The sequence below is a fragment of the Homo sapiens genome, chromosome 9 (genome assembly GCF_000001405.40).
Source record: "Homo sapiens chromosome 9, GRCh38.p14 Primary Assembly".
NCBI classification, from domain to species: domain Eukaryota; kingdom Metazoa; phylum Chordata; class Mammalia; order Primates; family Hominidae; genus Homo; species Homo sapiens.
The window spans coordinates 38,074,643-38,090,656 of NC_000009.12; the positions used below are offsets into that span (position 1 = coordinate 38,074,643).

The 16,014-nt window shown below is 46.7% G+C and overlaps 3 annotated features.

The window, feature by feature from the left end:
• Positions 13,330-13,624: a silencer, noted in NCBI's record as "tiled region #13386; K562 Repressive DNase matched - State 12:CtcfO". NCBI's record gives its function as "represses a minimal TATA promoter and a strong SV40 promoter by Sharpr-MPRA in K562 cells {active_cell/tissue: K562}" and the evidence as "EXISTENCE:reporter gene assay evidence [ECO:0000049][PMID:27701403]".
• Positions 13,571-13,620: an enhancer, noted in NCBI's record as "active region_28409". NCBI's record gives its function as "activates an Ori minimal core promoter by ATAC-STARR-seq in GM12878 lymphoblastoid cells {active_cell/tissue: GM12878}" and the evidence as "EXISTENCE:reporter gene assay evidence [ECO:0000049][PMID:35858748]".
• Positions 14,963-15,032: an enhancer, noted in NCBI's record as "active region_28410". NCBI's record gives its function as "activates an Ori minimal core promoter by ATAC-STARR-seq in GM12878 lymphoblastoid cells {active_cell/tissue: GM12878}" and the evidence as "EXISTENCE:reporter gene assay evidence [ECO:0000049][PMID:35858748]".

Consider the following 16,014-nt stretch of genomic DNA (forward strand, 5'->3'; position numbering starts at 1 on the left):
TCCTTCAGGACTTTATTTAAATGTCACATGCTCAGTGAGGCCTCCCCTGGGCACAGTGTCTAGAACTGCGGTCCCTGCTCAACACTTGCCATCCCTCTTCCTCATTTTATTTTCCCGATAACTCTCTTCCTCATTTCACCTACTGTATATTTTACATATATTTCTTGTTTATTCTTTGTCTTGCCCCACAGCGGGAAAGAGATCTTTGCCCTTTTGTTCACTGCATACCTCCAGTGTCCAGAACAGTGCCTGTAGTCATAGTAGGCACATGATAACTATTTATTGAATGCATGAGTGGATGGAAGCAATTGATATCGTGGAGGGTGGAAGAGCAGAAGGTAACAGCTGGACATCTCCGTCCACTTCAGCTTGCTAGCCTTGGCCTGGAGGTAGGAGCATGTCAGACTTACTATGGTTTAAAATATATATATGTAAGATGTATAACATGATGTCTTGATATACATATACATAGTGAAATAATTTTTACGGTCAAATTAAGCAAGTTAACCTATCATCTCACATAGTGACCTTTTTGTGTGTGTGGTAATGAGAGGTGACAGCGTGCTGGCAGTCCTCGCAGCCCTCCCTCGCTCTCGGCGCCTCCTCTGCCTGGGCTCCCACTTTGGCGGCACTTGAGGAGCCCTTCAGCCCGCCGCTGCACTGTGGGAGCCCCTTCCTGGGTTGGCTGAGGCCAGAGCCGGCTCCGGCTCCCTCAGCTTGCGGGGAGGTGTGGAAGGAGAGGCGTGGGCGGGAACCGGGGCTGCGCGTGGCGCTTGCGGGCCAGCGCGAGTTCCGGGTGGGCGTGGGGTCAGCGGGCCCTGCACTCGGAGCAGCCAGCCGGCCCCGCCGACCCGGGCTTAGCACCTGGGCCAGCAGCTGCTGTGCTCGACTTCTCGCCGGGCCTTAGCTGCCTCCCCGCAGGGCAGGGCTCCCGACCTGCAGCCCGCCATGGCTGAGCCTCCCCCTGCGGCCGTAGGCTCCTGCGCCACCCTAGCCTCCCTGAGGAGTGCCGCCCCCTGCTCCACGGCGCCCAGTCCCATCGACCACCCAAGGGCTGAGGAGTGTGGGCACACGGCGTGGGACTGGCAGGCAGCTCCACCTGCAGCCCCGGGACAGGATCCACTGTGTGAAGCCAACTGGGCTCCTGAGTCTGGTGGGGAACCTTTATGTCTAGCTAAGGGATTGTAAATACACCAATCGGCACTCTGTATCTAGCTCAAGGTTTCTAAACACACCAATCAGCACCCTGTGTCTAGTTCAGGGTTTGTGAATGCATCAATTGACACTCTGTATCTAGCTACTCTGGTGGGGACTTGGAGAACCTTTATGTCTAGCTAAGGGATTGTAAATACACCAATCGGCACTCTGTATCTAGCTTAAGGTTTCTAAACACACCAATCAGCACCCTGTGTCTAGTTCAGGGTTTGTGATTGCACCAATTGACACGCTGTATCTAGCTAATCTGGTGGGGACTTGGAGAACCTTTATGTCTAGCTCAGGGATTGTTAATACACCAATTGGCACTCTGTATCTAGCTCAAGGTTTGTAAAGACACCAATCAGCACCCTGTGTCTAGCTCAGGGTTTGTGAATGCACCAATTGACACTGTATCTAGCTACTCTGGTGGCGACATGGAGAACCTTTGTGTGGACACTCTGTATCTAGCTAATCTAAGGGGGAGGTGGATAACTTTTGTGTCTAGCTCAGGGATTGTAAAGGCACCAATCAGCACCGTGTCAAAACGGACCAATCAGCTCTCTGTAAAATGGACCAATCCGCTCTCTGTAAAATGGACCAATCAGCAGGATGTGGGTGGGGCCAGATAAGAGAATAAAAGCAGGCTGCCCGAGCTAGCAGTAGTAACCTGGTGGGGTCCCTTTTCCTTCTGTGGAAGCTTTGTTCTTTGGCTCTTTGCAATAAATCTTGCTGCTGCTCACTGGGTCCACACTGCACTTATGAGCTGTAACACTCACTGTGAAGGTCTGCAGGTTCACTCCTGTAAACCAGTGAGACCACAAACCCACCAGGAGGAACGAAGAACTCCAGACGAGCCGCTAAGACCTGTAACACTCACCGCGAAGGTCTGCAGCTTCACTCCTGAGCCAGCGAGACCACGAACCCACCAGAAGGAAGAAACTCTGGACACACCACCTTTAAGAACTGTAACACTCACCGCGAGGGTCCGCGGCTTCATTTTTGAAGTCAGTGAGACTAAGAACCCACCAGAAGGAAGAAACTCCCAACACATCCGAACATCAGAAGGAACAAACTCTGAACACACCGTCTTTAAGAACCGTAACATTCACCGCGAGAGTCCGCGGCTTCATTCTTGAAGTCAGTGAGACCAAGAACCCACCAATTTCAGGACACAGTAAGAGCACCTAAGATCTATTCTCTTGGCAAATACCCAGTATCCAACGCAATATTATTAACGAGTCCTCATGCTGTACATTACAGCTCTAGACTTATTTTTTCTACGTATCTGTACGCGTTGACCTATATCTCCCCATTCTCCCCCATCTTGTCCTCTCCCCTCTTCTGGTAACCACCATTCCCCTCTGTTTCTATGTATTCAACTTTCTAAAAACAGATTCTACATACAAGCGAGGTCAAACAGTATTTGTCTTTCTGTATCTGACTTATTTAGTGGAACATCTTCCAGATTAATCCATGTCATTACAAATGGCAGTATCTCCTTTTCTAAAGCTGGATAGTGTCCCATTGTGTGTACATCATTTTTTTAAAATTTATTTATTTTTGAGGCAGGGTCTCGCTCTGTCACCCAGGCTGGAGTACAGTGGCATGATCTTGGCTCACTGCAGCCACAACCTCCCAGCCTGAAGTGATCCTCTCACCTCAGCCTCCTGCGTAGCTGGGACTACAGTTGTGTGCCACCATGCCTGGCCAACTTTTTAAGTTTTTTGTAGAGACTTTTGTAAAGTTTTTGCCATGTTGTCCAGGCTTGTTTCGAACTCCTAGGCTCAAGTGATCTGCCCACCTTGGCCTCCCAAAGTGCTGGGATTATAGGCGTGAGCCACTGCACTCAGCATATTTTTAATTTTAATGGGTACATAGTAAGTGTATGTATTTATGGGGTATATGAGATATTTCAATACAGGCATGCAATGTGTAATAATCACATCAGAGTAAATGGAGTATCCACCACAATTTTTTAACCCATTCACCCATTGAGTGAATGTTAGGTTAATTCTGTATCTTGGCTATTGTGAAAGCTGCTGCAATGGAAGTTCACCATCTCTATGAGATGCTGATTTCATTTTCTTTGGGTATATACCCAGAAGAGAGTTTACTGGGTCATATGGCAGTTCTAGTTTTAATTTTTTTGAGGAAACTCCATACTGTTTTCCATAATGCCTGCACTAATTTACATTCCCATCAACAGTGTGCAGAGGTTCCCTTTTCTCCACACCCTCACCTACACTTGTTATCTCTTGTCTCTTTGATAACAGCCCTCCTAAGAGGTGGGAGGTGGTATCTCATTGTGGTTTTAATTTGCATTTCCCTGTTGATTAGTGATGTTGAGCACCTTTCCTATATATCATGGCTATTTTATATGTCTTTGTTGGGAGAAATGTCCATTTAGGTCCTTTTGCCCATTTTAATTTAATTTTTTTTTTTTTTTTTTTTTTTTTTTTGGAGATGGAGTCATGCTTTGTCACCCAGGCTGGAGTGCAGTGGTGCAATCTCAGCTCACTGCAACCTCTGCTTCCCAGGTTCAAGCAATTATCCTGCCTCGGCCTCCCAAGTAGCTGGGATTACGGCACCTGCTACCACACCCAGCTAATTTTTGTATTTTTAATAGAGACGAGGTTTCACCATGTTGACCAGGCTGGTCTTGAATGCTGAACTCAGGTGATCCTGAGTTCTGCTTTGGCTTACCAAACGGCTGCGATTACAGGCATGAGCCACTGCGCCCAGCCCTTTGCCCATTTTTTAATTGAGTTATTTAATAATTAAAAGAAAAGCCAGGCGCGGTGACTCACACCTGTAATCCCAGCACTTTGGGAGGCCGAGGCAGGTGGATCGCAAGGTCAGGAGTTCGAGACCAGCTTGGCCAAGATGGTGAAACCCCATCTCTACTAAAAATACAAAAAAGTAGCCGGGCGTGGTGGGTGCCTGTAATCCCAGCTACTCAGGAGGCTGAGGCACAGAATTGCTTGAATCCAGGAGGTGGAGGTTGCAGTGAGCCGAGATCGTGCCACTGCACTCCAGCCTGGGTGACAGAGCAAGACTCCATCTCAAAACAAACAAAAAACCCTTTTGCTATTGAGTTGTGTGAGTTTCTTACATCTTTTAAATATTAATCCCTTATCAGATATGTGGTTTGCAAATGTTTCCTCCCAATCTTTAGGCTGCCGATTCATTTTGTTGATTGTTTCCTTTGTTATGCAGAAGCTTTTTAACTTGATGTAGTTCCACTTGTTTATTTTTGTTTTCATTGTCTATGCTTTTGGTGTGATACCCCAAAAAAATCATTGCCAAGGCCAGTGTCAAGGAGCTCTTCTTTCGTGTTTTTTTTCTAGGAGTTTTACAGCTTTGGGTCTTTCATTTAGGTCTTTGATTCATATTGAGTTGATTTTTGTGTCTGGTGTAAGGTCAGGGTCCAATTTTATTATTTTCCATGTGAAAATCCAATTTTCCCAATATCATTTATTGAAAAGACTGTCCTTTCCCCATTGTGTGTTCTTGGTGCCCATGTTGAAAATTAGTTGACCATATATACTCGGGTTTATTTCTGGGCTCTATTCTTTCCGTTGGTCTATATGTCTGTTTTTATGCCAGAGCCATACTGTGTTGACTTGCTGTACTTTTGAAGCACATGCATTCTGGGGTTCTGTTCCCAGATCTCTTAAATTGAGGAAGCAGAACATGACTCATCCCTGCCTTCCTGGCATCCGGAGGGGGCTCCAGGAAAGTTGTGGCATCCAGTTAGCCGCTTCCACGTGAGTCCCAGTCCTGCTGACATGTAAGCCTGTCCCCAGTGTCGCTGAGCCAGCTGCTGTTCTCTCCACATCAGGTACAACTAATCTTAGGAATCTCATTACGGGTCGAGAAATAATCCTCTATATCTAGATTAAAGTCTGTGTTTTGACCATTACCGCGCACTGAGCATTGAGCCAACAGTTTAATTGAGCTGTTTATGCCGCTGCCTTGATCTCTTCCCAGAGAATTTACAGCTAATTCCAAGTGTCTCTGTGAATTAAGTGGGCCTCTCCCAACATGCTTTGCCCGGTGTTTGCCTGTTTCAAATCCCACTTGTCCTTGTGTTACCCAATGATGGGCTCTCACTCACAGCTGTCTCTGACCCTGCCGCTTACAGCCCACTTCCTCCCTGAGGTGGCCATTAATGATATGGTCCCAGAATGGCCATAACCCAGGATAGCTTCTGTTAATACCTACAGCAATAGAAAGGGGGGTGGAGGTGAGGATGGGGTGGAGCAGAGAGGTCATAAATTATGACCTCAGTGACCCCTTTGAAATCACCTCCAGGTGACTAACAGTCACCTCTAGCAAGAGGGTACATGCCTTTAGCGAAGTTAAGTGTAATGGAAGCAAAGAGTTCCAGTCTGGGGTCAAGACTCCTGAGTTCTTACCTGACATCCTCTGTGATCTCTGGGGCTACAGTTTCCCTGTTTGCAAAACGGGAGCTGGCAGATCATTGTTTTCCATTCAGGATAGTAGAGGTGTCTTAGGATAGGGCTGCCATATTTAGAAAAAACAAAACAGGCTGGGCATGGTGGCTCATGCCTAGCACTTTGGAAAGCCAGGGCAAAGAGGATTGCTTGAGCCCAGCAATTGGAGACCACCCTGGGCAACATAGTGAGACCTGGTCTCTACAAAAAAATAAAATTATGCTGGGTGCTCATGCCTGTAATCCCAGCACTTTGGGAATCTGAGGCAGGCAGATTGTTTGAGGTCAGGAGTTCAAGACCAGCCTGTCCAACATGGTGAAATCCTGTCTTTACAAAAAAAAACACAAAAATAAGCCAGGCGTGGTGGTGGGTATCTGTAACCCCAGCTACTTGGGAGGCTGAGGCAGGAGAATCGCTTGAACCCAGAGGTGGAGGTTGCAGTGAGCCAAGATCGCACCATGCACTCTGTCCTGGGTGACGACAGAGCAAGACTCCTAAAAAAAAAAAAATAAATAAATAAAAAAATTAGCTGGACATGGTTGTGCAAGCCTGTAGTCCCAGCTATTCAAGAGGCTGAGATGGGAGGATCACTTGAGCCTGGGAGGTTGAGGCTGCAGTGAGACATGATTGTGCCACTGCACTCTAGCTTGGGTGACAGAGGGAGACTCTGTCTCAAAAACAACAACAAAGGACATCCATGCAATAGTTGGGACATACTTATAGCTAATTCTTATTTATTTACCAGAAATCCAAGTATAACTGAATGCTGTATATTTTCTCTGGTGACCTTACTCAAGGGGCTGTGTACGCAGGGCCCTGATCTACAGGTGGGTGCTAAGAGAGCAAATGAGTTGAATTGCTTTGTAGCGATGCATCTTAATGGTCAAACTGCCTGCATCTGGCAAGTGCAGCATAGATTATGGAGGCTGCAAATCCACTGAGTGCAGTGGCTTTTTCAGTCCCAAACTTCAGACTGATAGCCGTCTTGAAGGCCACCACTGGAACCTGGGGCTTATTGGCAATAGGTCAAGTTAGGCCCATAAGAGTCAGAAGTACACAGGGGCATGTAGGGGCAGAAAGGTCTGGGTCAGAGAGCCTGAAGGTCTGGCAGAAGGATCTGTGGAGCTTGTAGGCAAGGAGGAAGTGAACGTGGGGAGAAAGGAAATCAGGCCTGGTCAGAGGACATCACAGGTCAGCCAGGTGCCAAGGAGTCCCCGTGTTCTAAGGGTGCCGGCAGAGAGAGAATATCTGCGGATATCTGCAGGGCTGGGTGGGCGGTCAGACCTTGAGGCTGTGCTTGCTTTGCTTCAGAAGCAAGTGGTGATCAAGAACACAGCAGTGTTTTTCTGCAACTGAGGAGGACTTAAATACTACGTGCCCACCAGCACCTTTAGGTTTTCTTCTATGGGGGATTAGCTTTGGGATTACCAGGTGCCCAGGATGTGTGATCCTCCTCTTCTTGAGAGAGGTCTGGAGACCAGGCAGCAGGGGCTGTGCATTATTTACTTCTGCCCACCCTGGTGGGTGGCCGAGTGCCTGCCAAGTGTTAGCCCCAGTGACTGTGTATGGGATTGAATCCAACAGACATTCACTGAGTCACAGTTCTTAAATCTCAGTTATTACCTCCGGCCTTAAACCACACCACCATGTGTAAAAGGGCACCTTTATCTTTGTAGAATCATTGCAGACTCTCCTCCTGCTGGCTGTGTCCATCTCTCCCTCCCTTCCACATCTTCCTGCAGAGCATCCTGTCTGTGCACAGAAGTCCAGATGTTAGACCCACCCAGCTCCTGGACCTGGGCTTTGTATACTGACGGTAACAATTGAAACAAAAGACATACCAGGCACTGTGGCTCACGCCTATAATCCTAGCAGTTTGGGAGGCCAAGGTGGGTGGATTGCTTGAGTCCGGGAGTTCGAGACCAGCCTGGGCAGCATGGCAAAACCCCATCTCTACAAAAAATACAAAATAAAATATTAGCCAGGCATGGTGACGTGTGCCTGTGGTCCCAGCTACTTGGGAGGCTGAGGTGGGAGGATTGCTTGAGCCCAGGAGGTCGAGGCTGCTGTGAGCCATGATTGTGCCACTGCACTCCAGCCTGGCCTGGGTGACAGAGTGAGACCCTGTCTCAAAAAAAAAAGGACATAAAGGCATTAAACATTGAAACCACCAAGATTAAATTTACCTGGGTTTACTTGTGAGTGACTTTATGTGCTAGGGTGCCAGGAAAACACCCTAAATCTGAAGAGTTTAATCCAATTTTCCTCTTTGTCAAACTAAACTTGGGTGTTCCTGAAAAGATGAAATATTACTTGAAGCCCTGCAGTTGGGAAAGTGGTTGATTTCTTCAGTGTTAAACCACACCAAAAAATGTTCTGATGCAATTTCCAGCCTCTCACTTTGGCTGTAATATTTAAAGGCAATTTTTAAAAGTCACTTTCCATGCATAATTTTCTCCCACTACACTTTGTTATTTTTTTTTCTCGAATTGAAATGGTTACCATGCTGCCATCTGAGGCTTTGCTAAGTGGGATGCATTGGTCTTTGCCAGAGCCAAGAAAGAGTTAAAGTTGCAAATGGCCGTCTGTCATCTTTCTCAGTCTGGGGATGGGGGTGGATATCGCCCAATTGTCTGTCCTTTTCTTCCCCTCCCTAGGGCTGAGTGCGGGATATCAAGTCTCCTAAAATAGCTCAGACCCTGTGGGGAGATGCCTGCCCTGAGCAGGAGCTAGCTTGGCATGGAGGATTCTCAGAGTTGGAAGGGAATGTTCCTGGCCAAATGGTCTGATCTCTTGGGCTGGAAGAGAGAGGAAGGAGCTCAGTAACCTTCCAAACCAAACATCCACTAACAAGCTCTTTCAGGGCCCTCAGGGAACCCAGATGACTGCTGTCATCTTCCTTCACCTAAGTGGCATCCGACAGAGCATCCACCCCCACAGAGTCCTCTGAGGCTGCTGGGCACAGTGCAGAGAGGCACTGGCAGATCTGGAGCAGAATCTAAGTGAGCATCTCCTCATTAGGATTTCTGGATCTCTTAGGATTTACAAGATACTATAGAATCATTGCGTATTGCAAATGTCTGAAGGAGAGAACTGTTGGTTTTTGTGGTTTTCCAGAGTCGTGGTGGGTGGAGGGGCTTCTTCTGCCCAGGCCTTCGAGCCCACTCTGATCCTTTCAGTCTTAAGATGCAATGATTGTTTGGGGGCTCTAGACTATGGACCTCCTCACTCCAAGGCTGGGCAGTGTCTCATTTGCACACTTTGAGTCAGGAGCTGGCGCAGGCCAGAGAGAAGCACTGCTTTCTTCCTAAGCCTCATGCTTTTATCTTTCTTTTTTTTTTGAGATGGAGTTTCGCTCTTGTTTCCCAGGCTGGAGTGCAATGGCACGATCTCGGCTCACTGCAACCTCCACCTCCTGGGTTCAAGTGATTCTCCTGCTGCAGCCTCCCGAGTGGCTGGGATTACAGGTGCCCACCACCACACCTGACTAATTTTTGTATATTTAGTAGAGATGGGGTTTCACCATGTTGGCCATGCTTGTCTTGAACTCCTGACCTCAGGTGATCCACCCGCCTTGGCCTCCCAAAGTGTTGGAATTACAGGTATGAGCCACCGTGCCAGGCCCGGTTTTATCTTTATGTACAAGTCGATTTGTATTTCTGTTTGCTCCTATTGACAGACATTTTTGTGGTAGGTATAGCCTTTGCATGTTATTATTAGGCACTCACCACAGGAATTTACTCCTCCAGTGGACCAGTTTTGCAATAAGGTAGCACATCTCCCACAGCCACAGTGCAGGTCAGGGGCACTCAGACTCGACTGTGCCTCGGAGCCACATAGACATCAGTGTTAGCATGGACACTCCCATGGCCACTCCAGGGAAGCTGACTCAACAGAGCTGAGTGGGGCTCAGGAATCTGAGCCACAGCCGATTCTGTTGCCAATGGGCTGAGGGACCCCACTTTGAGAAACTCTGGTTTGTGTCTGAGTTCTCATCTGTGATATTAACCAGCAAATTGTGGGTGACAAAATCTGGGATGGAGGCATTTTTGACTTTTGGCTGGTCGATGTCCCCAGCCAAAAGTCTGACATTCAGAGGATTGGCCAGCCTGCATCACAGGTAGGCAGGCAGGCTGCAGTCAGTGTCCCTGCAGGGGCGTCACGTCTCCATTGTGTGCCCTGCAGGATCCATAGTTTTTCTTATTTATCCTGAGCTAATCTCCCTCAGTGCCCAGTTGAATGGATTCTGCAGATGAAATGGGGATTAGGAAGGAGGAAGGGAAGAGAACAAATATGAACAGTGAGAACACTGTGCTAGATGCTGAGCTCCCGGCTTCACACCGATTGTGTCTGACATCACCCCCACAGAAGCACAGTGGGTTGGCATTACTGCGCACTTCTCCAGCTGAGGGCTCAGAGGTCCCACGGCTAGGAAGTGGCAGACGCTTTGTTGCAAACTCAGGCATGTTCAACTTAAAGGCCTTCCTCTTTTTTCCTTTCTCTCCCTTGCAGGGGTGGGGCAATGGATACATTTAAGGTTTTTTCCCTCATTTTTATTTTGAAAAATTTCAGACTATGGAAAGATTGTATGGTAACCCCCCTGGACCCTTTAATGGTTAGCATTCTGCCACATCTGCATTCTCTCTGTCTACCTTACCCAGCTACCTAACTAATTTTGCTAATCCATCTGAGAATTACTTGGGAACATTGTGTTGATTTACTTCTAAATATTTCAGTTTATCTCCAAGGAACAAGGGCATTTTCCCACAGAACCATAATACAATGATTACACTTGGGAAATTTCACATCAATACATTACCATTTAACGGGTATCTGGCTTATTTTCCCAATTGTTTACAAAATGTTTCTTATAGTATTTTTTTTTTTATTTAGGATTCAATCCAGGATCACTTACTGCATTTACTTGTCAAGTCTCTTGAGTCTCTTTTCATCTCAAAGAGTATTTCAGTCTTTTTTGTTTTTGGTCTTTTATAACATTGACGTTTTTTAAGGAGATCAGGCCAGTTGTTTTACAGAATATCTGTCAATTTGGATTTGACTGGTCATTCCCTCTTAAGAGCTTCATGTCAGGGGGACAGAGGCTCTACTCTTCTGATTATCTGCCACTGCCTCTTACCAGGTGAGGATGGAGCGTGGCTGTTTGTTGTTAAAAGGCCCGGAGTGGGAAAAAAAGCAGCCCAGTTTGGTGGGATGAATGTACGCTGTGAAGGGCAGCAGAGGAGAGCTCAAGTTCTGGCTCATGTCCCTGGCCGATTGACCTTGAGCCTATCAAAGAATATTCCTAGAACCTGGTTTTCCTCTTTGTAAATATAGATGGTTTTGGCCTTGCAGGATTATAACAAATATAAGTAAAGAACCTAGCACGTCACCTGATGCATAATCATAACTTCATAAATGGCAGCCACTATTAAGTCCTTAATTACAATATACCAAAATATCCTGCTTTTTCTTCCAACACACCTGTCAAATACACCCTTTTCTGTACTTTCCCATTTCCCCATTCTAGGGCACTTCTATTGCTACTGCCTCCTTTCTGTTGCCCTCATCCTTATCTGTCCCATACATGCCACCATGGGTTGTCCTAAAATGTGGCCCTTGTCATCATATTCACCTGGCTTCCTTTTTCCCCAGCACATCGAGTCTGTCTGGCACTCAGCACCCTTCATGGTCTTACCTCGTCCCCTACCTGAACATTTCTTCGACTATTTGCTCTTGATTTGGCTCCTAGGATTTTCTCCCTGACTTCCCTCATTCCCCATACTCCCACACAAGGTGCATGCATAAATCACCTGGGGTATAGTCACAAACAGAAACCACTCTAGGCCTTCCATGTGGAAAGGGATTTAATGAAGGCAATCAGGTGCTTGGAAAATCTGGACAAACAAAACTCAAAAGACAGTCTGGACAAGCCAAGGTCAAGGAAGGCCACTGGTTTTGTCACTAGCTTTCACAGATAGGGAATTTGAAGGAACTCGGAAAACTACTAGGGATGATCTCAGTTGCCTCCAATCCCAAGGCCTGAGATTTTCAGGAAAGTACCTAGAAGCTGCTGGAAAATGCCATGTCTGCCTAAGCCCAAAGTTTGACATTGCCAGAGGGGCAAAAATCTGGCTTCTGCCTTCTTTCTACCTTCTAGATCTTGGCAAGTGCTTCTCATGGGTGTTTTTCGATGCAGGACTCTGAAGACAGGGATTCTGGAACATGTAGTTCCCAGGCTTCTAGCTCCTGTGATCCAGGGGAGAGAAGAGAAGTGGGGTGCTGGTCAAGGAAAGGCTTTCCTTGGAGACAAGTGGAGAAGACATTTTCTTACTATTTCTTAGGGTCACAGCTGGAAGGATGTGAAACTGGTTGCCTTGGAAGCCATTATCCCTGACACTTAGAGGAAGCCCAGCTGTGGGAGGAGAGAATGAGGCCCCCAAACAGTGAAAAGCAGAGCAAAAGACAGAGCTGAAAAAGAGAGCACACTGATTATATTGTGCCAGCCCTGGATTTGAAGGCTTACTTTATGCAGTGTTCTCCATGTCCTTCTCAGTTATATCCATCCATACATTTCTTTTTCACTGTAGCTAATTTCAGTTAGATTTCTGTTACTTGCAGCCAAGAGGGTCTTAATGAATAGCAGAAGGGAGAGCATGTAAACATTGCAGAGTCAGAGTGTGGTGTGTGCTTTGCAAAAAGAACTAACAAAGGAATCTGAGCACCTAGAGAAGATAATAAGAAAGAGTTCAGCCAGGTGCGGTGGCTCATGCTTGTAATCCCAGCACTTTGGGAGGCCAAGGTGGGGGCAGATCACCTGGGGTCAGGAGTTCGAGACCAGTCTGGCCAGCCCATCTCTACTGAAAATACAAAAATGAGCTGGGCGTGGTGGTGTACACCTGCAATCCCAGCTGCTCGGGAGGCTGAGGCAGGAAAATCGCTTGAACCTGGGAGGTGGAGGTTGCAGTGAGCCAAAATTGCACCACTGCACTCCAGCCTGCATGACAGGAGCGAGACTCCATCTCAAAAAAAAAAAAAAAAAAAAAAGTTCATCTCCATTTTATCTTTTTCCTTGGAAATACTATTTAAACCATAATTCTACCTTAGTTATTACTTATTTTTAATTTATTTTATTTTTTGAGACAGGGTCTCACTTTATTGCCCAGGCTGCAGTGCAGTGGTATGATCTTGCCTCACTGCAGCTTTGACTTCCCCAGGCTGAAGTGATCCTCTTGCCTCAGCCCCCAAAGTAGCTGGGACCACAGGTGTATGCCACGACGCCCGGCTAATTTTTTGTATCTTTGGTGTAGACAGGGTTTCCCCATGTTGCTCAGGCTGTTAGTTATTGCTTCTCATGGGTTTTGTTTTCTTCCAGAATTCTCTTCTTCCTTTCCTTCTGTTTTCAAAAGACTTCCTGTCTCCCAAAGACCAATTTGATTATTTTCTCGCTGGGACCTCCACAGCTACATTACCCCATTTCTTAATTCTTGAAGTTCTTGGCACAGTCTAATTTGAACCACAAATTATTAAATTTTTGATGAGTGCTTCAGCTGCCCTTTATTGGCTGTAACTTCCCGCCATGGACTGCATCCTCATCCACAGATTGATCGCCTTTGACTGGTGCTCAAGAATCCTTGGGAGTTGATGGACTGATGAATCAAACGGGGAGTCTGAGGCTGCCATGGACAATTAAATGGGAGAGCAGGAGTGGAGAAGAGTTAGTGCTGCCCAAGTAACGGTCATCCAGGAATAAGGAAGCCTTTTGAGAAATAATAATCAAGCTGGCTCAAATGCACTTGGCACACATGGGGTGGACCCTGAGTCCCAGGTGGTGCACCTCTCCGAGTGGCCACAAGGGGGCGAGAGAGGGCATGGTCCAGGTGCCAAAATATTGCTGTGGCTGTGGGGTCAGCCAGCTGGCTGGTCCGCTAGTTGAGCCCTGGCTGGAAGGGGAATCTTGGCCTAGGTGATTTGCACAGGATAAAGTGGGCCTCCAACCAGAAGGCCTAGGAAGCAGCGTGCCTGGACCAAGGTTAGGAAAGCCCAAGGATGAACAGACGGATGGCAAACATTGATAAACATCTAAGAATAGGAGCTAGAATCTCCAAAATTAAACCAGCAAGTGAATGTCCAGTGACCCACATATTCTGCTAAGGATGGGGGATGACTCAGTGTCCTGGAGAAGGAAGCAGGAAGCCCAGGCATAGTACAGTGGCAAGGACTGAGTCTGGGAGGCAGGGGTCTGGAGTCTGATCTCTAACCTTGTAGTTCCTCAATCCTGTGTCTATGGCCCCTGATGAAAGCTCGTACTGTGTGTCCTTAGGTGATGACCTCTCCCTCTCTGAGCCTCAGGTGTCTCATCTTACCAAATAAGTTTGATGTCTGGAGACTGAGAGACCAGCCCCACCCTTGCACTGGGCACCATGATGACCAGGGTTCCTTTCAGTTTCAATGGTCTCTGAGTGACATGAACAAAACAGTTAGTTGGCTGCAAAGACCATGTCTTTCTCACTTCTGCCTGTGTACACCTGCTTTCTTTACAACTTTTGAGGAGGCCCTGGTCCTTTGGGACCAGGATTGTTCAGACCTTTGTAGAAGCTGAGCAGTATAATTTCTAGATGCACTGACCCATGACATAGCACACACCAAAATGCCCCCACATCCCACTGGAAATGCAATTCATTTTCTCTAAAATAGTTTTTGGGGGCATTTTAATAATTTTACTTTGAGGATTATTTTGCTAATTTTATTTTCAATGGCTGTGGTTTCTTAGAAATCATTGTGCATAGTTAGGAATTCCTTGAAGTGAAAGAATCTGCTAATTCTTTTCAAATATAAAAAAATTTACAGATACTAAGTATAACGATGTATAGAGTTGATGTAACACAGAATTTCAGGGCATTTCATTACATTTTGACTGTGGAATTTTCATTTTGTAACTTGGAGTCAATGAGAATTTTTGTAGTGCATGAAACATTTTTCGAGGCTCTTGAGAAGCTCGTAGGTCCTCTGTCCTCTGTCTGTGGCACCTGATGGGAAAAATCCTCCTGCTTGAGGCAGCTGAGTTGAAGTGGGGGGTCATTTCTTACCATTATTAGTTTTTGTCTCATGTCTTCTGGCCTGAGAGCCTGTGCAAGCTTTGAGTGTATCAACAAGTAAAGAACACCCCCTTTCACTTTCCTTTAATCTCAGAAACTTCATTTCAACATCTGTCTTTCAACTAAGCCATCATATAGGCAGGCATCAGGGTAGCAGAATCCCCCCAGCCCCAGGGATTTTCCTAAAGCTTGTCTCTCCCCAGTGCTCTCAGGCATACCGCAGTCAAACCAGACATCATCCCCATTGTCAGGGTTCTACAGAAATAGATATCCCACAAAGGGCAGTATCTTGCCTGAGAATTTGTTTTCTCTTGCTGATAATTCCTCTCCATAAACATTTTTGAGAAAGATGAATAGGTGTACCTTTCTGGAACAGTGAATGGATGCTGGGGGGTGAAATGACTCTGCATGGCATGTTTTATGGATGAGGGGAGGGTCCTGAGGACTGCCTTTCATGTCCTCAGCCTCTGACTTGGTTGCAGATTGCCCAGCCTACTCTTCTGTAGGTGAAGGTTTAGCAGCTGCTTCTCTCACTGCTGATAACCTCTGGAAGGCCCAGCCTGGGTGGAAGCTAGACACGCCCCAAGAGTTGGCACAAAATGCCACCAGCCTGTAGCAGCTCTGGGCCCACCCTGAAGACCTGGTTATCTCATTGCACCTCACAGCCAGTGCTGTAGGCTTCAGACACTCCATTCTGCTGGATCCCCCCTGCCTGCCTCTCTTCCCAACAGCCATGAAGGTAATGAATTCCTTCCCATCATGATGTTAATGAATCTCAAAGGGGGAAAAAAAGGAGATAAGATCTCAGAAATAAAGACGCCAACATAAAAACGGAAGACACAGTGACCTTCAACAGGATGAACAAATTTGAGATTTTTCCATTCATCTCTGCCTGGGGGATGGGGACGGTGACCGTTAATAACAAAGTGACACCAAGTGATTTGCTGACAGTTCATAAAGGTCCCCGTGAAGCCCAGAGTCAAGAATGCCAAATGACTCATGAAGGTAGCAAACCAGAAATGGGGTTGGCGGGGGGGGGAACCCTGAACTGCGACCTAGGTCGCAGGTTTCAAAGCAGGTTTATTCTCACCCCAGGATAGGGCTGCCAGAATTAGCAAATAAAAACATAGGATGCACGGTTATATTATATTTGAGTTTTAGGTAAGCAGTGTTTTTTTTTTTTTTGTATATTTGGGACATATTTGTACTGAAAATTTATTTGAAATTCAAACTTGGCATCCTGCATTTTCTCTGGCAACCCTAAC